Source organism: Homo sapiens, chromosome 6, assembly GCF_000001405.40.
Source record: "Homo sapiens chromosome 6, GRCh38.p14 Primary Assembly".
Classification (NCBI taxonomy): domain Eukaryota; kingdom Metazoa; phylum Chordata; class Mammalia; order Primates; family Hominidae; genus Homo; species Homo sapiens.
The window spans coordinates 69,009,915-69,031,682 of record NC_000006.12 but is presented as its reverse complement, the minus strand read 5'-3'; the positions used below and the strand labels follow the sequence as shown (position 1 = coordinate 69,031,682).

Genomic DNA, 21,768 nt, shown 5'->3' with positions numbered 1-21,768 from the left:
AGCCTGAGTGACAAATTAAGAACCTGTCTCAAAAAAATAAAAAAAGAAAGAAAGGAAAAGAAAAAAAGGAAAGAAAGGAAAGAGAAGAAAGAAAGAGAGACAGAGACAGAGGAAGAAAAGAAAGAAAGAAAAAGAAAGAAAGAAAGAAAGAAAGAAAGAAAGAGACAACTCAAATTCAAAATGTTTGTGGCTAGGTCTACATGTTAACATGTAAGAAACTCTAGAATTTTTTTTTTTTTTTTGAGATGGAGTCTTGCTCTGTCGCCCAGGCTGGAGTGCAGTGGCATGATCTCGGCTCACTGCAAGCTCTGCATCCCGGGTTCACATCATTCTCCTGCCTCAGCCTCCCGAGTAGCTGGGACTACAGGCCCCCAACCACTGCGCCCGGTTAAATTTTTGTATTTTTAGTAGAGACTGGGTTTCACCGTGTTAGCCAGGATGGTCTCGATCTCCTGACCTCATGATCCGCCCGCCTCGGCCTCCCAAAGTGCTGGGATTACAGCCATAAGCCACCAAGCCTGGCTGAAACTCTAGAATTCTTGAGAGAGAGAGACAGAGAGAAGAGAGAGAAGAGAAGAGAAGAGAAGAGAAGAGAAGAGAAGAGAAGAGAAGAGAAGAGAAGAGAAGAGAAGAGAAGAGAAGAGAGAAGAGAAGAGGAAAAAAAAAAGAAAAGAAAAGAAAGGAAAAGAAAGAAAAGAAAAGAAAAGAAAAGAAAAGAAAAGAAAAAAAGAAAAGAAAAGAAAATTAAAACCCAAAATGTTTGTGGCTAAGTCTACGTGTTAACTCGTAAGAAACTCTAGAATTCTTGAGAGAGAGACAGAGAGAGAAGAGAAGAGAAGAGAAGAGGAAAAAGAAAAGAAAACTCAAACCCAAAATGTTTGTGGCTATGTCTATGTGTTTTGTTTTGTTTTGCTTTATTATACTTTAAGTTCTGCAATACATGTGCAGGACGTGCAGGTTTGTTACATAGGTATACATGTGCCATGGTGGTTTGCTGCACCCATCAACCCATCATCTACATTAGGTATTTCTCCTAATGTTATTCCCTCCCCTAGCCCCCCACTCCCCTGACAGGCCCTGGTGTGTGATGTTCCCCTCCCTGTGTCCATGTGTTCTCATTGTTCAACTCCTACCTATGAGTGAGAACATGCGGTGTTTGATTTTCTGTTCTTGTGTTAGTTTGCTAAGAATGATGGTTTCCAGCTTCATCCATGTCCCTGCAAAGAACATGAACTCATCCTTTTTTATGGCTGCACAGTATTCCATGGTTGTATATATGCCACATTTTCTTTATCCAGTCTATCACTGATGGGCATTTGGGTTGGTTCCAAGTCTTTGCTATTGTGAATAGTGCTGCAATAAACATATGTGTGCATGTGTCTTTATAGTAAAATGATTTATAATCCTTTGGGTATATACCTAGCAATGGGATTGCTGGGTCAAGTGGTATTTCTGGTTCTAGGTCCTTGAGGAATCACCACACTGTCTTCCACAATGGTTGAACTAATTTACACTCCCACGAACAGTGTAAAAGTGTTCCTATTTCTCCACATCCTCTCCAGCATCTGTTGTTTCCTGACTTTTTAATGATTGCCATTCTAACTGGCATGGGATGGTATCTCATTGTGGTTTTGATTTGCACCTCTCTTATGACCAGTGATGATGAGCTATATATATATGTGTGTGTGTGTGTGTGTGTGTGTGTGCATTCTATATATCATATATATATATATATGTTTGTTGGCTTCATAAATTTTTTCTCTTGAGAAGTGTCTGTTCATATCCTTTGCCCACTTTTTGATGGGGTTGTTTGTTCTTTTCTTGTAAATTTGTTTAAGTTCTATGTGTTAACATGTAAGAAACTAGAATTCTTGGCCTGTATTATTATAGGAAATCTTAATTTTTGAAGTTATGGTTTTCTATTTGAGGACAGCTTTCACAATTCATGTCCAGTATAGAAAGATATACTACTCAAGCACACTCCTTCACCATCACTATCTCTGTTATAGTCATTTCATTCTTCAGTCCTTAAGCTCTTTTCTCATACATTGTACAGCTACAGCAGAAGTCAGCTTTTCCTCCACTTTTCCTATTGATTTTCCCAATGCTGCTCCACATTAATGTGCATTCTATATATCATACGTTTGCAACCTAATTCTATGTGACCTCCTTAGGTTTCTTTAGACTATGAGTATTTTCTTAGTAAATAAAAAATTCAAAAGAAATTATGTGCCTTAGAATGAAAGGTTTGGCCCTCTATTTATGCCCTCTCTCCTAAACAGTTGCTGAAGGGATGGAGACTGAAGGAGTAACAAATAAGTTCACTTTTTCATGATCTAAGATATGGTATAAAAGATTTATGAAAGCATAACTTGTGTAATTAGCCAAAAAAAGTTTCAAATTTTCAAATAAAGTGGATACATATGAAGAATATTAGCACAAAAGAAAACAAATGGTCAGGAGTCATTTTACCTTGATGTAGAAATATAGAACAGATGAGTATGATTTCCCTAGAGTCACATAATAAAAAAATTACACTGAAGTTCATTATATAACAGAAGTAGGTTAGAATGTGGTTGGCTGAGCAAGAAAATGAAACAAATCTTTGACTTTCAATTACCAAGATGTAAAGGGGAAAAAAATGCACCCACTCTGAATGGGAGGCACTGATGTAGGACAAATTATGTGGGTACCCCTCTCACCCAGGCAGAAAGGTTGTGAGGAGTAAATAGTATCATGAATATTTGTGAAAACATTAATTTGGGGCATGCTATGAAATATTAATGATGCTGTAACAAAACTTTTCTTAGAAAGCTTGAGGAATAAAAGGGGAAAAAACAAATAAAAATATCTTTCTTTATGTTGTACTCAAATGGTACTTGTGAAGGAAGTTCAGAAGTTTAAGGCTAGAAATTGGCATAATATGTGATAATATAGAAAGTTTAGAGCATTTGGGTTACTCACAACAAGAAAGAGTATTGACAACGTTTTCAAGTTTCTCAGGGACAAGAAGCATTATTTAATAGTGACACCATGAATAGTTGTGTCTTAGCATGGGTGTATAAAACAGATAAGATAAATTTAGAAATATTATATTACTCTTTTTTTCACAGCAGTTAACTTCTAAAAGAATGCAGCCCTACTAATAAATTGAAACATCATAACATGATCAGTGTTTTCGACATTAAAGTCCAGGGTTATAACTATGAGACTAGTTCTATTACACATAACATTTGTAAAGCTGTAGAGATGAAGATGTTTTGCAAATATATTTCCAACTTAGATAAGAAACTTCTATGGTATTCTTATTTTTACGTTTTTATTAAAAACAAAAACAAACAAACAAAAAAACCGAAAACAGCTTTCAAAAGAATGGAGCTGACTAGTTTCTTGCTGGACTTGGTTGAGCCTTAAGAGTTCTATTCTAAAGGCTCCTGGACCTTCCAATTAAAAAAGTCACACAAAAGTGGTAGGGAAAGTAGGAATTATTTCATTTGTTAGCTGGCAACTCAATATGAGTTACAAAGTCATTTTAATGAACAATTTCATTCTGGCTTTTGCCCAAGGATTTGTATGGTGGGATGATGACAGAATGCTGATGGCTTCTGAGGATAAAATTGCTCAGTCTCCTTGAGAATAGTAAAAATCAAATGGGCTCAAACCACAGGAGCAAGGATTTGGGTTGGAGTTAGGAAGGATAACATATTTTTAAAAAGCCAAAATAAGACTGCTTTGAATTCTAAACTTTACAGGCATTCGAATAGCTGCCAAAGTAAATTTTTGATATAAATCTGTCTTGCTTCTGTAGTTGGATTCTTGGAGATGCAGTGGATATATTTCCTTGAGTGCTCTCCTTCTTCCACACTCTATTTCTACCTACTGGTAAGCTCTTTCAGATCAACAACTAAAATATCTTCAGCATCTGACCCCTTTTCACTATTTCCACTGTCACTTGACCCAAACCTCTGTTCTCCCACCTGAGTAAGCACAGCACTGCTCTTCCTGTTTTCACTCAAGCGCCAAATAGTCTATTATAATATCTCCACCTCATAGTCAGAATGATCCTTTTAGTACCTACATCAGATGATAATCATGCGCCACATGATGTTTTGGTCACCTGTGGACCCTTTATATGATGGTAGTCACATAAAATTATAATGCAGCTGAAAAATTTCTATTGCTTAGTATTTACTATACTGTACATTTTACCATTATTTTAGGGTGTACTCCTATTTAAGAAAAAAGTTAACTGTAAAACAGCCTCAGGCAAGTCCCTCAGGAGGTATTCTGGAAGAAAATAGTGTTATCATAGGAGATGCCAGCTCCATGCATGTTATTTCCCCTGAGGACCTTTCAGGTGGACATGATCTGAAGGGGAAGACAGTGACATTGATGATCCTGACCCTGGGTACGGCCTAGGCTAATGTGTGAATTCATGTCTTGGGTTTACCAAAAAAAAAACTAAAAATCTAAAATTTAAAAATTAAAAATAGAAAAAAGTTTTATAGAATAAATACATAAAGAAAGAAAATATTTTTACAGCTGTACAATATGTTTGTGCTTTAGGCAATGTATTATTACAAGAGTCCAAAAGTTAAAAAAAAGTTTATAAAGTAAAAGAGTTGCAGTTAGCTGAAGTTAATTTATTTTTGGAGAAAAATATTTTTTTAATAAATTTAGTGTAGCTTATGAGTACAGTGTTTATAAAGTCTACAACAGTGAATAGTAATTTCCTACACCCTCACACTCACTCACCACTCACTCACTGACTCATGCAGAGCAACTTTAAGTCCTGTACGCTCCATTCATTGTAAGTGCTCTATGCGGGTGTACCATTTTTAATATTTTATACCAAATTTGTACTACAGCTTATCTACGTTTAGGCACACAAGTATTTACCCTTGTGTTACAGTTGCCTACAGTATTCAATACAGTAACATGTTGTGTAGGTTTGTAGCCTAGGAGCAATAGGCTATACCCTGTAGCCTAGACGTGTAATAGGCTATACCATCTAGGTTTGTGGAAGTACATTCTATGATGTTCGCAAAACAAAATAGTCTAAGGATGCATTTCTTAGGATGTATCCCCTTAGGTAAGTGACAAATACTTGTTAAGCATTTTGCATTCCTTTCAGACCTCAGACAAATACCTTTTAGCTTCACTTCCCTCTCCCTTTCTGACTTCATTTCCTCCCACTGCTCCTCCCTCAGCTATTCCAGCACTAGTGGTTTTCCCCAGTTCCTCTAATATATGAAGCACATGGGTGAATCATGGCCTTTCTGCTTACTTATTGTTTCTTCTGTCTGAAGTGTTCTGCCCCTACATATCACTGCATCTCATGCTCTAAAGGTTCAGTTCTATATTCAAATACCGCTTTGCAGATGAAAGGCCCTCCCTGGTCATCCTCCCTGAAATGACACTGCTCTCTTGACTCGTTAACCACTCACCCTGTCGACTGCTTCATTCCTCTTTTAACGATTATAACCACTGGGCATGTTTGATGGCATGGTTTGACATCTGTATCTCTACCACAAAACATAAATTCCATGAGAGCAAGAGGTTTGTCTAATTCATTCACTGAGACATCTTCTAGGACAAAACATGGCAGATATTTACTGAATAATTGTCTGAGACCTCTTAAAGCTGGTTAAATCCATGAATCATTACCAATCTATTATACTAGCACTAGGAAGCACCTCAACCTGGGGTTCAGTTGTGTGCAAGAAAGCCCATTACACACCTGGGCAGTTTGTCTTGTTTGCTCCTAACAGGGTCTGATATAGCCTTTCACAATGTCACCCTCCCCAGTGCTTCCACCCCAACCATGTGGAATTAGAGGATCCTAGTAAATACCATGAGATAATTTCTATGAAATGAGAAGCAATCAAAGAACTCTACAGCTGCATATCAAAGTTTAAAACTATGTTTGAACTACTTGTTTTCTCAGGAAACCAGTATGTTAGCACAATAAAGAAACAGATATTTTTTGTTGTATTTTTTTTCCTGACCTACAGAAAAATACCCACTAGCTTCAGGTGTTTAGCAAGGGTGGTAAAGAGCCAGAAGGCAGAGATAGAACTTAGCACATTCAGACTCAAATCTAGCTGACTGAACTGACGTCAGGTGCCACAAATAAACATACCAAAAAAAAAAAAAAAAGTTAAATTGTGTATTTTTCAGGCGTGATGTCAACAGACTACAAGTGTCTCATTTTTAATGAAAGGAAGTCAAACAAGAGATGGGGATGTGTGAATCACAAAACTAAGCAGCGACACAAAGGAAAATAAAGCCTAGAAAGAGAAGCCACTATATTTTAGAATAATATTGTCAGACTGAAAGTTGGTTTCTCTATTAAAGAACAAGATATTCTACCAATGAAATTATCAAGTTTGCCAGTGAATATAAGAAAGAACATAGGTTTGGTGCTGATGAAAAGGCATTGCACAGAGAAAGGAGATGTCAACATTGTATCACACCATTTTTCAGGTTGAATTTGGATTCAATTTCAGAAAACATCAACTATGAATTTTCATCCTGACAAACTTAATATTTATTTTATTTTATTATTTTTTATTTTTTTTTTTTTTTTTTGAGACGGAGTCTCGCTCTGTCGCCCAGGCTGGAGTGCAGTGGCGCGATCTCGGCTCACTGCAAGCTCAGCCTGCCGGGTTCACGCTATTCTCCTACCTCAGCCTCCCAAGTAGCTGGGACTACAGGTGCCCGCCACCACGCCCGGCTAATTTTTTGTATTTTTAGTAGAGACGGTGTTTCGCCATGTTAGCCAGGATGGTCTCGATCTCCTGACCTCATGATCCGCCTGCCTCGGCCTCCCAAAGTGCTGGGATTACAGGCGTGAGCCACCGTGCCCGGTCGCCTTAATATTTAATATTTTCTAAACCAAGAAGACACAGTAATATTTACCTTTTCAAAGAAAAATATCTTACTTTAATGCTTTCAAGGCACTAGCCTTATTGGATTACTGGATAACTAAATTGATATGTTTTAGATTCTTGTATCTGTTAGGGTTTATATATCAGCAGAACTTTTGAAATTCCTAACAACTAATAATTATAGCATTCTGTATTTGAAGATCTTATTTAGCCTAAAACCATTCCCTTCTTATTTGATATTTTCAGCATCAAATAATTCCTAAGGAACAGTTGTGAAATAGCTGTAAGTGGGTGTAGCAACATTCATCTATCTAAAGTAAATTCATAAAGATTACTGTATCAAAATTTTATGGGTGTAATCCATTGAAACCACATAAAGAGCTTGAACATTTAGGTCCTGTTCACTGTGTCTGCACTTTTCCTTGAGAATTTTCATGTTACAGAATTGAGAATCCCATAAAGTTTATCTTAACTTAAGACACTGAACTTTATTAGCAGTTGATATTAAGTAGAGCGATCAATTTGAAACGTTCTCTCCATTTTATTATAAGACACTGATTTTATACTGTCTTGTCCTGGAACTCCTTATACCTACTACCTCTAATCATTATTACTCTGACACCAACTTTGATTCTTTGTTTTTAACGTAGATATCACCTTACGTCTCTTCTATTTTATTATTGTATTGATAATTGAAAAAAACTTTTATGACTTCAACTATCACTTTTATGTAGTTGATTACCAAATGTGTATTTATAGATTTGACTCCTCTAATAAAATCCAAGTTCTCATTTTATTTTTTTCACTTGGGGGCTATACTTGTCTAAATATTAATATGTCAAAAATACTCACAAATTTATGTTGAATAAACATAATATCAATCCCTCCACTATCTCTCACACCCCAGTCAGTTATGGAATCCTATCAATTCTAGCCTCAGACAGACTCTCAAATTCATACCCACATGTCAGTTCCTATTCTTACCACCAGCAATTCCTGTCTTCATTGTCTCCTGCATGAATTACTATTAAAAGCCTTCTATCTACATTTGGACTCACTGTGTTGATGGTGTTTCCCAACTTCAATCAATTCTATTTTCTCATCTTACATATGTTCTACCAAAGCACAACTCTTGTCAGGTAAAGATTCAGTGACTCCCTATTATCTTTAGAATTCAGAACCATGAATCAACATGCCTTTCCAATTTGATTTTACTTCCTTCACTTCTATACATATGTGCTTCTATTAAAATAGGCCATTTTTTTCCCCAAGCACAATTTCAACTTTGACATCTCTATATCATCTTTGCTAAAAGAATGTTCTGGACTGTAACCATCTATTTGCTATTCACTCTTCTTTATGTTGACTTATCAATAATCCAGCCATTCTTCAAAGTCTACATTAAATGCTTCCTTCTCTAAGAAGTTTTTCTTGATCCTTATACAGAACAACATCTCCTGGAATAAAGCACTAACATTTGGCTTATGTGACACATATCAAAGTGTATTTGATGTTTATTTATTTATGTAATTCTTTTCTGTCTACAACTAGACCGCAATTTTCTTGCAGGCTAGAAGATTAGACATTTATTTTAATGACCTGAGTCATTCAGCAAAGGCTTTGCTTACAGTAAGAGAAAAATTATTTTTGTTTTTGCTTGAACATAGTCAATGGGAGAGTAACATGTGACACATCACTGATCTTCCTTGAATTCAGTTCAATGAATGCAATTCTAGTTCTAGGTTCTAAACTAATACAATTAATTTCTAAAGAATAGGATATTCTTATCAATAAAAGCAAATGTAATATGCTATATGAAGCTATTGTGAAAAATATATAAAAATATATAACTGAAAATATAACCAAAACTATAAATCATCACTGTAACTTTGGACAAATCGTTAGAACAATATAGTCCCATTCCCTTGCCTTGTCATTCTAGTCATGTCAGATCTCATACACTCCATTTTGTATTTGGAACTGCAAACAGCTGGACCTCAAAATAATGTACTTTTATCCTTTTCAGGGCTTCATGTTATTTGTTTTATGCTATTACCGCAAAAGAAATCCAAATACTTTCAAGCCATGAGTTTAGATTTATCCTTTGAGTATATTTTACACTGTAGTTAATGTAAAATTTTTAAAGGAATGAACAGTATCAAGAAAGAGTGGTTAGCAAAGCACAAAGGATGTGAAGGATGAAAAATGGGAGTAGATTTATTTGGCAATTAGAGTTTCTGGAAGGCTTTTCAAATAGGAGCTTCAGAAAGATAATAAGAGAAATAGGATTGCAAGGTCCTTAAGGAAAAATGTTTAGAGGAAAAGTATAGAAAACAAGTTGAAATAAATCTTCAAATAATATTTTCATTGAAAAATAACTTTCTGTCTTGTTGAAAAAATAACTTTTTAAAAATATCTCATATTAAATAATATAAAGATATGGCCCTCCAGACCTAATTGATACTAATACATTTTTAAAATTATTGATATATTGAAAAAGTCACATGCTTTTCCTAAAACAAAAACCACTTACCTATGCAGATAGTTAAAACATTTCAAATATAATTTTTTTTAAAAAGAGGCATATTGAAAATTGAAATCTTTCATACACATTCATTCATACATTTATATAGTAATTAAACTATTTAGCAGAGCATTTAGTCTTTAGTAAATGCTCATTAACTCATGCATTATAACTTTCATGTGTTTATTTTAGATGTCATATACATATTTAAAAATGAAAACTAAATATTATATTGAAGCTTGATTATTTTATAAATTCATTGGTTTGAAATCTTTGTTTGTAGACTGTTTTTTTCCAAACCTCTGCTAAACGTTTTGAGATCATAAATCTTTTAAGAAAAAGATCAAAGCTATGAACATGCTCCCTATAAAAATGTACATGCACACATATATACCAAAATGTTCATAGAATTTTTTATCATATAAGAGCATTTCATTTATCAAAAGCCAATATAGACAGGGAGATTTTTCAGAAAAAAAGAAGCTTCGAACTTTTTCATTTGAACTATTTTTGAAGAAAGTCTTTCTAAAATATGTCACTCCTTTTCTGAGATTTTAATCAGATTCTAGGAACTCTTATCTTGATGAATTAAGGCCATGCTTTTAAATATAAATTATCGTCCTAAGTCTTAGAACTAATGCTCTCAAAGGTGAGACATGAGGTGTCATTTCTTTAGGAAATGACAGTAAGGAAAAAGTATTTCTTTGTTATTATTGTTCCAGCATTTCATCTATTCTATTTGCTATACATGTGCCTCTAATAGCACTGCTTCTGCTTCCAACCCATTCTATCTAATCCAGTAACTAGAAAACAGAAATGCTGAAACTATATTTAAAGTTGAAATAAAATAATCTATTAGTTCTGAGAGTCTTTTATTAAATTGCATGGTCATTTTGGCATTCATATTTGACTGTTCAACTCCTTCTTCCTTCAGGAGTGTACTATCTATAGTCAGAAAAGTGAGGCAGCTATACATATAGACTTTATGAAAAAATAATTTATAATCTCTCTAAAATACATTATGATTTTTGAAGTTCTTTAAGTAGTCTTAATCCAACACATTCTAAAGAAAATGGCCATAAGGAACAAACTTTCTTAGTTACTCAGTCTCTATTCATTTCTCACATGCTGAGTGCATGCCTGTGTTTGTGCATATATGTCTGCTCAATATAATGAGCAGACTGTTGGATAATTAATATTTGGACTTAGAATGTAAGACAGAATGAGGGCCAATTCACATGTTTCACAACTTTCTACTATAAAATAGTCTCTATTTATGTCCATGCTCAAAAACATTGGAAATATCAGACAAAACATTATAATGTTTTACATATATAGTATCAAATTGGATAACATAAAAAGTATTAATAGTAAGAGATCATTATTCATATTACTTAATTTGATACTAGTGTATACAATTTGGAAAACTCCTGAATACTATGGCGCATAACCCTCAGTTCTAGTCACCAAACTACAGTGTCAGTCAGTCCCTGAGCTAGCATTTGAGGAAATCAACAACAAATCAGATGTCTTTTGGGTAGTCAGTATAAATAATGTTTAGAATTTTTACTCACAGAACATAACTTTTAATATGGATAATTGTTGCTATATAAACAATCAGAAGGCAGAACAATCACACTATCCTCAGGCAAGATGGACAATGATATAGGATGATATTGACTTTATTTGCAGCATTCGACTGCTTTGAGTTATGCTTAATATACCTCTTACAGTTTAATAACATTTAAGGGAAGAAGGTAAACCTAGATAACATAATCTTATTGCAAAAAAATACACAATATTTTCAAATATACAAGCTTGGTGAGTCAAAGAAAGGTAAAGATGAATAAATGATTGTAATTTATGGACATTTATGAAATTTTTACAGCAAATAATACAGCTATAGAGAATGTGATACGCTGTGATTCTGAAACACAAATCCAAATTTAAGTTTAAATCCAATTTAAGTTTGCTAGACTCTGAGATTGGCTTTGTTTGTTATAGTTTTTATTCCAAACACATTCTGCACAAATGCCATGTATTGATCTGAGCATTCTTTTAATTAGCAATACCTTTTAGGATTAGATGTTAACATTTACAACAAGAAGAAGAAAACAATAGTTCTCTGTTTTTCTATCTCATTTTAACTCATAAATTACTTTACCAATTGTCCAATCTGCCCCAAGACCCTTCATAACTCATTTCCTTCCCTTAGGAAAGTGGTTCCGGCTTGGGTGACTAGCATCCCTGGAATCTTGCTAGATTCCTTCCACGTGCCTTAAAACTCATAGCTGTGATTGCTAAACCTTTTCCACAGACATGTTATACCGTTCCTATGGACTTTCTTTCCTTTATCTGCCCAGCCACTTTTATAATGGACATTTAATTGGGAATTTCTCTGATTTCTGAATTCATCGTTCAACAAAGATACCATCTTTTGTCTCTTTTTACTCTAATTGTCCATAAGAAGGTACAGCTTCCTCCATTACTGAACTGGCACAAGCTGCTGGACACCCACTCTGGAGAAAAGTGTGGGCCCTCCAATAGGCTCAGAAGATGCATTAAGATGTTAAACTCTCTGATTAAGGCCTGTGCTGGATGAAGAGGATATATGGGCTCCAAAATGTCTCCAGACGTTTGAACTATCCATTACATAGACTTTCCTCAAGTGAAGAATATTACCAGTAGTTAACTATAACCTATTGTAATCTGAGGTCACCCTGGTGGAAGATATCCTAGGATAAAATCAGTCTCTGCAGGACTTAGGGACCTTCAGAAGAAATTAAGTATAAAATGAACCACCAACAGCCTTAATCATAAAAAAAAATTATGTTCTCTACCAGCTGAACTTCCCTAGTTAATTCTCCCACCAAAGTAGGTCTCTTCCTAATCCAGAAACTAAAGCATAAATATCTGTGAATACGAATATAGGGCAAAATATCTTTATTTAAACACATTTCTATCTATGGTTCAGTGGTTTTTATGTTAAGAGTATTAAAGTATGACAAATGAAAGAAAATAATTCTGAATCACAGTAACATTATCAGAAGAAGCTTTAAAGAAATGAGAAAACTGTAAGCCTACATCAATTCAATGTGTATCACTAAGAAGGCTATTTCTTTGTGCTTGTTAATTTTTAACCACAAAGAGAAGTGTGTCATTTGGTTAATATAATGGTTGTTGCATTACAGAATCCACTACAGAGGGACCTGAGAGATCCACTGTGTACTGGAACATATTCAGAAAAACTGCATTGGCAGCAGTTGCACCATCATCTTAACCCTGGAAGTTATTCTCAAGTGTTCTACCACACACAGATTCAGCTCCTGCCTGGGACAATCAGTGAGAAAGTAACTCGGCATCCTCAAGAACAATGTACGGAAGATCATAAAGACTAATATGTTGTTTTTCAAAATTACTAGTGTGTATACACACACACACATTCATAACTAGATTAGATAGCAATGAGCATTTGGCAGAATGAAAAAATAAATACATATTATCCTACATATACATGTAAAGATACACAAAAATAGGCCTACAAGCAATCATACAAATGCATGAAGATAAATACAAATATACGCGTACATATATATAATGCAATGTGTTTAGGCCCATCTAAAAGTCAGATACCAAGTATTAGAAATATATTTGCTCACATGCAGTTAAACATATGAATAATGAATATTATACTTGGAAACGTATGGTGTAGATACTTGCAATTTTTTTTTATTTCAGAAAGATTTTGGGGGAAAATCCTATTTCTTACCTACATTTCCAGTCATTAAGTATGAATTCTGAAAGTCCATCATCCCCATTCCAACAATGTGTATAAAATCTTCAATCACCTGCATTAACTCTATTGACCCTGGATAAATCTAGAAAAATAAGCAAAGGTTAGAAGGAATAAAAAATCTATACATACAATGGCATATATAACTGAATTTTTTTAAACTACATGAAATCACAAATGAGCTTTGTTTCACTTCAAAAAAATCTACAGCTGCCAATAGCTGTATTTTTTAAATTAATAGTTGAGAATGACATCAGGTGTCACATTGGAGGAACTTTGGAAGTAATATGATGTAGTGATTAATCCCTCATAAATCTAAGGAAACTCAAAATATCTAACAGATTGTCTCCTCAAAAAATAGACGACTTTTCTTTTGATGAACTCTTTTCATCACTTAACAAAACATAGAACACTGAAATTGGGCTCTTTACATGTTTAGCTTGGCATCTATATGAGGAACACAAGAGGAAAAAGAGTTAATATTGCCACCATGAAGATATTTACAAACTATTAAGTTATTGCATAATAATAAATATCTTCAGAGAAACATTTATTGTTTAATAATTATAATGCCCACTGTAAGAATAATGGTAATAATTTTAGGATTACAATAATATTAATAGCCCTAGTGCATGTGCTTTACATGTACAAATACAAAACACACTTATGGGATTATTGTCCATATTTTAGGCAAGAAGAAGCAAGACCTCAAGAAGGTTAAACAGCATACCTAAGGCCATATTGTATCTTTAATAGTGGCTAAGCAGTATCTACCTAACTGTCCATCTATGCATCTATCCATCTATCCATCTACCTACTTATCTACCTGCCTACCTAGAGGACCATCTGCCTCCATGGTCCAAGTGATTTTTTCAACATCATGGCACCTCATACAGTACAAATGGACGAGTGTTTTTTTATTTGGCAACCTGATTGTGTCAATAGTTCATAGTGTTTGGAACATAAAGGCTATTGAAAATGTCACATGAATTTTCATGTGTATAACCCATAAAGCTTATAAAGTCATCCTGCATTATATAACCACTTTAGAGCAGAAAATCTTTTGAAGTCAGGTTAATTTCTTGTGGCCATTCAGCACCACTGCATTTTCTAGCCATGAAAAATTAAGTGGATTAGAGAGTTCTAGCTGCTTTGTAATCGCAAAGACTAGTGCAGAAGACGAAAAGGCATTCTGAATAATAGAAAAGCATATAGTCAGAGCTGAAAGGGATAGCAGGCACATGTGTATTTCAAAGGGGCTTGCGGTTGTGCCCGTCTAAAAATCAGGCAGTATCTACAGTATATTTACTCACATATACTTGAAGACATGAATGATGGATATTAGACTTAGACATGTATAACTGAGATAGTTCCAATTTTTAACTTTAGAAAGATTTGGGAGATAAAACCTGTCTCTTAGCTTCATTTTCAGTCATTAAACATGAATTTCGAAAGCCCATCATCCCACTTTCAAGAATGTGCCTAAGATTTTTGTTATCACCAAGGCTTCCTGCTACTACTGTATTTTCCCCTTATCTTTGTGTAGGTGCATATGTATATGAGTATGTGTAGTGTAATAAATACAAAGTAAAATAAGAGGCTTATTTTTTTGTGTTGAAAATAAGGGAAGAGTCTCTCCCTCCCTCAACCCCACTCTCTTCTCCCTTTTCTAAGAACATTTACTTTTGGAAAACTAGTAATTGTAAGCACTTTTTCTCTTTGCAATGCATGTCAATTTATTTAAAAGCTAAATAGTCTCCTACAAGCTTAAAGATCCAGGAATGTCTCTCTTTGAGAGGTAAATATACAAAAAGATAGTGCTCCTCTTTCTCAGTTTCTGTGAAAGGTAGAAGCCTAACTTCAGAGGCCTCTTGAATTTTGCTTCAAGTGGCAAAATTACTTCCAGTCATAAAGATATAAGGAGGTTATTTTTTCTTTGAATAAGGCCAATTAAGTAACAAGATGGTCACTGCCAATTACCAAGTGAATTTAGGATGAATTATGCGTGACAAAGGGTGCTCTTAAGTTCTCTTCAGAACTAGTTACCGTTTACCTTGAGGACACTGTTTGGCTATGTAATAGGGTCTTTGTAATCGCAGTGGATTGGCTATGATGCACATTACATTCTGGTTTACTGATTATTAAATAATGAATGTGTTTTTTTTCCCTTCTACCTTGGTGGAGAGATTTTTTAGGTTGGCTAAAGATTTTGTTTTTAATTATATTTCTCCAAGTGTAGTCAAATGCTATAGAGCAGGTTATAAAAGGTTGGCAAACTTTTTCTGTTTGCATATAGTAAACATTTTAGGCTTTGCAGGACATGAAGTCTCTATTGTAAATGCAACTCTTTCCTTGTCGCACCAAAACGACCGTATATAGATTATAGGTAAATGAATGGGTGTGGCTATATTCCAAAATATGATTAACAAAATAAGCCTCAAGCTGGATTTGGCTCACTGGCTGCAGTTTGCTCACTCTTGCTCTAGAGACATATGAATTTTCAATGTAATGACGAAATATCAAACATAATACATGACTAAAATGACTTGTCTTGACTAAACCGGACTTGTTAACTCCAGCCATATGGGTAGGGTGTAAAGTGGTGCTCTATAGAATGTAGTTTTTTTTTTTAACTTTAGTAGACTACATTTTTAGTAGGATGCTTTATCTAAACATAGTTTTATCCTTCATAACTGGAACTGATGGGTAACAAATTCTGAAATGACTATTCGAAAGAGTAAATTTTGTTTGCAAAAAACTTCCAATGTCAATAGCCACCATTTTACTCAGCTCATTTTCCAAACGTACACAGAGGTCTGTTCTACATTTACTTTTGTTGAGGCTATTACTCAAAAATAAGGAGACTCACAAGGATTATCTTTGATAGATTTTAAACAGCATCTATTTCCACAAAGTTCACCGTTTGTGCCACAAACTCAAGAGACCCATTCACCACACGGCTGCATTTATGACACCGCCTTTTAGTAAAAGCTGCAGAACAGGGTTGTTTTTGTTTTTTCAGCTTCAAATCGTTATTTCAAAAACAGCATTAAGGATCATTATTATTGGAAAAAATATTTTAAATATAAGAATATAGCTAACTCAAAATCTCAAGGAAATAGATGGATTATGAATTCAGGATTTTTCATTGACAAGAAGTTCTGCCACCATTCATTATTTGTTAAAGTTGGGACCTCACAGTAAATAACAGCATCTGATAAATTGCAGTCTTGTTTTAGATAGGATATTACATATTTCTTCTTAATATATCCATAATTAATAGTCTCTAGCAGCCTAGAAAGATGTACTTAGCCTCTGCAGCTGTATTCTAAGGAAAGACACCATCTTCTTACAGTGAGTGAATGAGGCTGTCCTCTAGAAGAAAGCCAAGGACAAATATGTAACTCAAATTGGTAGAAAAAAATAGATTTAAAGTATTAAAATAAGGGTTTTTTTTTCTGGCTATGTCCAGATGCATGAAATTTATATCTAATAATGAGGCAGCCCCACACTGGACTATTTTTAGAGCTCCTGTCACAATAGGATAAAAGGCATGCTTTACTCCTGAAGACCCAGAATATGATTATAAAGGGAAAACCCGAACCTCAGTAAATGTTCATTCTTTTTTTTTCAAGATTGTCTTATTTTTAACAAGAGTCAAATAGAAAACCTAAAGAAGTTTGACATCCAGTTAAACTAAATTTACATTTAATTTTTTAAACCATAATTTTTCTCTCTTTCTAGACTTCTAACCCACTTTTCCTGTAATTCAGAGGAAAACAAATTAGTCACTGTCTTATCAGTTAGGATACCACAAATGGCTATGCAAAGCATTTATAAACAATATCTAAACCAACAAGGTTACTTGCTACACTGATAAAGCATAACAAAAAGATTTTTAAAAAATCATAACATAATTTTTGGTGAGGCCTGATTTTTACAATTCTTGGCTTTGAATCAAAATCACTGTCTCTGTGATCCATATTATATGTAGCATTGTAGTAAATGCAAATGGTTTTACTAGTCAAAGCTCCATACTTTCATTTGAAATATGTACTTTTAGATGTGCTGTTTTTCCCATGGTCTACAGAAAAAAAAAAGGAACTTATTGGTTAGGTATATAATTATTACACATTAAATCCTTAAGGTTTTAAGTTGCTTAAACTTGCACAGCTTTTTTTCACATGTATAAATATTCCTTCCAGACTGGTATGGTAACGATCATTTGTTTCCTCAAAAATTACTAGGATATAACCTAGACTGACTTAAAAATATCTTGTTTTCCTGAAATAGCAAGCCATTAATTTAGTCACATATTTTTTACACTTTGTTTTGCCAACTTCAAGTTCTGAAATAACCCTAACCTTACCTGTTGTGCATCTTCCCATTTTTCCTTGTTTTCTTCATCTAGAAGGTTGCTAACTATTTGAAAGAAGTTCTGTAAATTAAATTAGATAAAAGATTTAATATTACATGAGAGAATTATACTTTTTAATAACACCCATTTGGGTTGACTACGTGGTAAAGGTATAAGCACTTTGCAATATTGCTTTATGACCCTAACATAGTATTCTAGAAGATCACTGAGGATCCTTTTACAGAACCGTAATTCTAGGATTTTCATATACCTTCATTTTTGTACTCTCAGAGGAGGTCAGAATAGGGAAAACACTTTCACTCAAAATTATTTGTTCCATTATAGTATCTATATTCCACTCTGTAATGTCATTGTGTAATTATTCCATACAAGTAAGTTTGATCCCGTCTGTAATGAAAGTCATCTGTATTTGTTTCATTACAAGTTGTCCTGTTAAATTGTGAGTTGTGGTTGTTATTGCAATGTTGTTTCAAAGAACACCCTAGTAAGACTATAGGCAAAGTGGAGGCAAGACAGGCTCCCTCAGTTGAAATCTTGACTCTGCCCTTCCTGGCCATTATACTTTTACAACTACCAATTGCAAATATTAAATAAAAGTTTCTAAGTTCCTGACATATCACACATGCTAAGAGCAGGTTTTCAAATTATTACTCTTTACTCCTCTGCCTTTTGCCAGCAAGCCAACATGGGAGAATGAATAGACATATAACATCCTTGCCATCATTCTTGTCTCTAACTGTTAAAGACCTATTGGCTTTATCTTCGCCTAGCAGTGCCCATTGGTTTCTGGTTTTTCTTTCATGCAGGAAGGTCATTTTGATGTTCATATTCCATTCACAATGGACACATTGACAGAGAGCAGGGCTCTGTTCAGTCCTATTTTGCAAGTGCTCATTTCACACATGAAGGATTTTTACCAGAGAGAGACTTTTCTTTCCCTTCACACTACACTGTGCCATCAAGACACAGGAACCAGGAGAGAACAACCAGCGTGCCTTTGAAGGCGAGCTGTGACTTGGGGGTCACAGGAGACCTGAGAAGTGTAAAGGGAAGGCATGACGTTTATCTTAAGTTGCATAGGCAGTGGTGGCTTGGCTGTGTTCTCAGAACCCATCTCGTCTGACTGTCTGTGTGTAGGTCAGCAGTAGCACTACTTCATACTGATACATTAACTTGGACCAGGACTCCCTTGAGGGCAGAAATAATCATAACTTGTTAGTCTCATCAGTCTTCCTCCCTATCCAGCTTCTCAAAACAGGCATTTGCACTAATTTCAAAGAAGCTCACCTGGGTGCTATTAAATGAAAAACAAAGCTGCTTAATTTCCTCTTCTCTTGTGGTTTGAAGCTGTTAGTATCTATATTTAATTGCCCTATTTGTGCTATTTGTTTTAATAGTACCTGGCAATCACATGGTTGAAACACGGTTTGAGTCATAACCTCTATAAAAGTTACAGAATATTTTATGCAACTCTTAAAAAACCTGCAAGTCTGTTTTAGACCCGTTTTTCAATTCTTTCAGCCTTTTTGTACTACCAGCCATTTTTTTCCACTTAAAATTTCCTGCTTGAAGTGTTAACATTTGAAGGGCTTAGTCCATTGAGCTCTAACTCTACCTATGGTCAGAAAGAATTAACCTTCAGAGTTCTCCAATTGCCTGTGACTGGTTAACTCAGTAGGGGACATGGTGCTAATGAGGCAAAAGTTGCAGGTTTTATCCCTGTACATGCCAGTTAGCTGTGCTGAGGTCCATGACCTCGGTCTGCATTCTAACCCCTGCCAGCTTTCATACAAAATGCATGCTGCTGCTAACAAGAGACACCAAGAGAACAGGAAGCAATTTGTGCAACTGCATCTCCATTTCTGAAAACAAAACAAAACAAAACAAAAACAAAAAAAAACATTTCACAAAGCATGTTTTGCTGACAGTGGGTCGGTGACTCCTTGCTGTACATGAAGGCCACTGCATACACAAAATTCCTTGATGAAGACAATAAATTCAGAGTTCAGTTCTTTTTTTAAATCACCAAAGGGCACACATAAAAAACACAAATTATTAAAATACATGTTGGGCCAACCAAACATAGCATTTTGTACTATTCTTCAAGCATTCTGTACTCTTCTTCAAGGCCAACAAATGTGGCTTTACTAAATCGGAGTGGGAAGGCAGTACAGAATAAAGTTATTTGTTCTCACTATTGATTAGACTTTGGAATAATCAGTAGTAGCGCCCTGACTAATGAAATCCATGTAGGGGCACAGTGAGCTAAGTCTGAATGTCTCAAGCAGTGGGGCAGCATTTATGGTGAGACTAAGTCTTTCTTGTTCATCAGTGTATCCTCAGTGTATATAATGACTTGCTCATAGCAGATATTTAATAAAGTCCTAAATTTAAAACAAAATTTAAGTTGCAAAGTCAGTATATCTCAGCTTCTCTTTCTTTTTTCTTTATTTTTCCAACTTTAATTTTAGATTCAGGGGATACATGTGCAGGTGTGTTACCTGGGTTTATTGTGTGATGCTGAGGTTTGGAGTATGAATGATTCCATCACCTAGGTACTAAGCACAGTAGCCAGTAGTTAGGTTTGTAGCTCCTTCCCCTCTCCTTCCCTCCCTCCCCACTCTATTAGTCCCCAGTGTCTATTTTTGCCATTTTTATGTGCATGAGTACCCAATATTTAGCTCCCACTTATAAGTGAGAACATGCAGTATTTGGTTTTCTGTTCCTGCATTAATTTGCTTAGGATAATGGCCTCCAGCTGCATCCATGTTGCAGCACAGGGCATGATTTCATTCTTTTTAATGGCTGCATAATATTCCATAGCGTACATGTGCCACATTTTGCGCCTCAGCTTTCCTAAAAAGATTTAGCACCATTTCTTTCAGCTGGCCTTGCTCTAACTTGTCTCACACATATAGAATATATATATACACACACACACACACACACACACACACACACATATATATGTATATATACACATACTAATACATACTGAATATATATTCACTTTGACATTTACTAAACTATCAGACTGATAAATAGAACCAAACCTAACAGAACAGCACTTTGAAGAGGAGACTCATGACATTTCAGGCCGCATGATTGAATTTTTCAAAGTATGAAGCTGCTTCTGTGGTAGCAGAGCCACTACTTGCCAGTGTTCTTTTAAAACTCCATTAATGGTGATAATAGTTCTCTTTTGATGATTTATGGATTAGGTCACTTATGTCAATCCCTAAAATAAAAAGGTCAACACCTTACAGTAAGTTTTTGTCTCATTTTTTTGCTTTTTTTTGTTTTTTGATTTTTTTTTTTTTTTTTAGTCAGCCTTGATCTCCATGACCTAGACTGATTTGAAAAATTGAGTGTCCTTGGCAGAATCTGAACTGTTTGGAGTTTGAACGAGGCAGACCCAGTTTAACATTTTCCCCATCAATTATTAACTGTATGGTTATGGGCAGATGTTGCCCACCTATGCTTTATATCTTGAATCTGTAATACAAGAGTAATAATAGCTACCTAGCAGAGCTATCGTGAAGCTTGGAGTTAATTCTTAACACAGTATCTGATGCATGGCAAGTGCTTGATATATGGCAACTTTATGATTTTATTCCCTTTATGTTATATATTTTTTTATGACTGGCTGCATGATTTGTATTCATTGCCGCATTATGGCAAATACGCACCTATAATTCTGATACAGCCTTTCACAACCAGTAGCATTCTCCTCTATCCTCTTTAATGTCTCTTCCTCTCTCAACAATATGTACAGAACAGAACTGATTCACTACTAACTCTGGGGAACATAATTTGTTCAGCAGAAGTCTCTTCTTTCTAAGAATGTGCTCTGGTGGGAGAGGGTTTCAGGGAAGTTAGTATTAGATACCTACTATGTGAGAGGCATTATGGTGAATGGTTGTGGTACACAAAGGTCAAAGAGGCATGATCATTCTTTCTTTGCCGGAAGTATTACAAAAATCAGGGCAATAAATGTATGCTATAAAAATAAGCATAAATCCTTCTGTGGCATTCAAAGTAGAGGCCCTAGATTTGGCTATACGAGACAAAAAGGACACTTTATTTTATGGAAAGCAATAAAAAATTCTGTTTTTACTTTTGACTGGCATCCACTTGGCAGATTTCTCATGGATTATATACAATTTTTTATAAATATACTAAA

At 34.9% G+C, this 21,768-nt stretch overlaps 1 protein-coding gene across 1 annotated transcript in view; it reads right to left on the bottom strand.

Moving 5' to 3' along the window:
* The window catches only part of ADGRB3 (adhesion G protein-coupled receptor B3), a 754,225-nt gene that overhangs the window by 357,824 nt on the left and 374,633 nt on the right, over window positions 1–21,768 (bottom strand). Inside the window, exons 12-13 of the mRNA NM_001704.3 lie at window positions 17,577–17,645; window positions 13,184–13,292 (exon numbers count right to left, since the gene is read on the bottom strand). Coding sequence (NP_001695.2) covers window positions 13,184–13,292; window positions 17,577–17,645 — 178 coding nt within the window. The remainder of the gene's footprint in view (window positions 1–13,183; window positions 13,293–17,576; window positions 17,646–21,768) is intronic.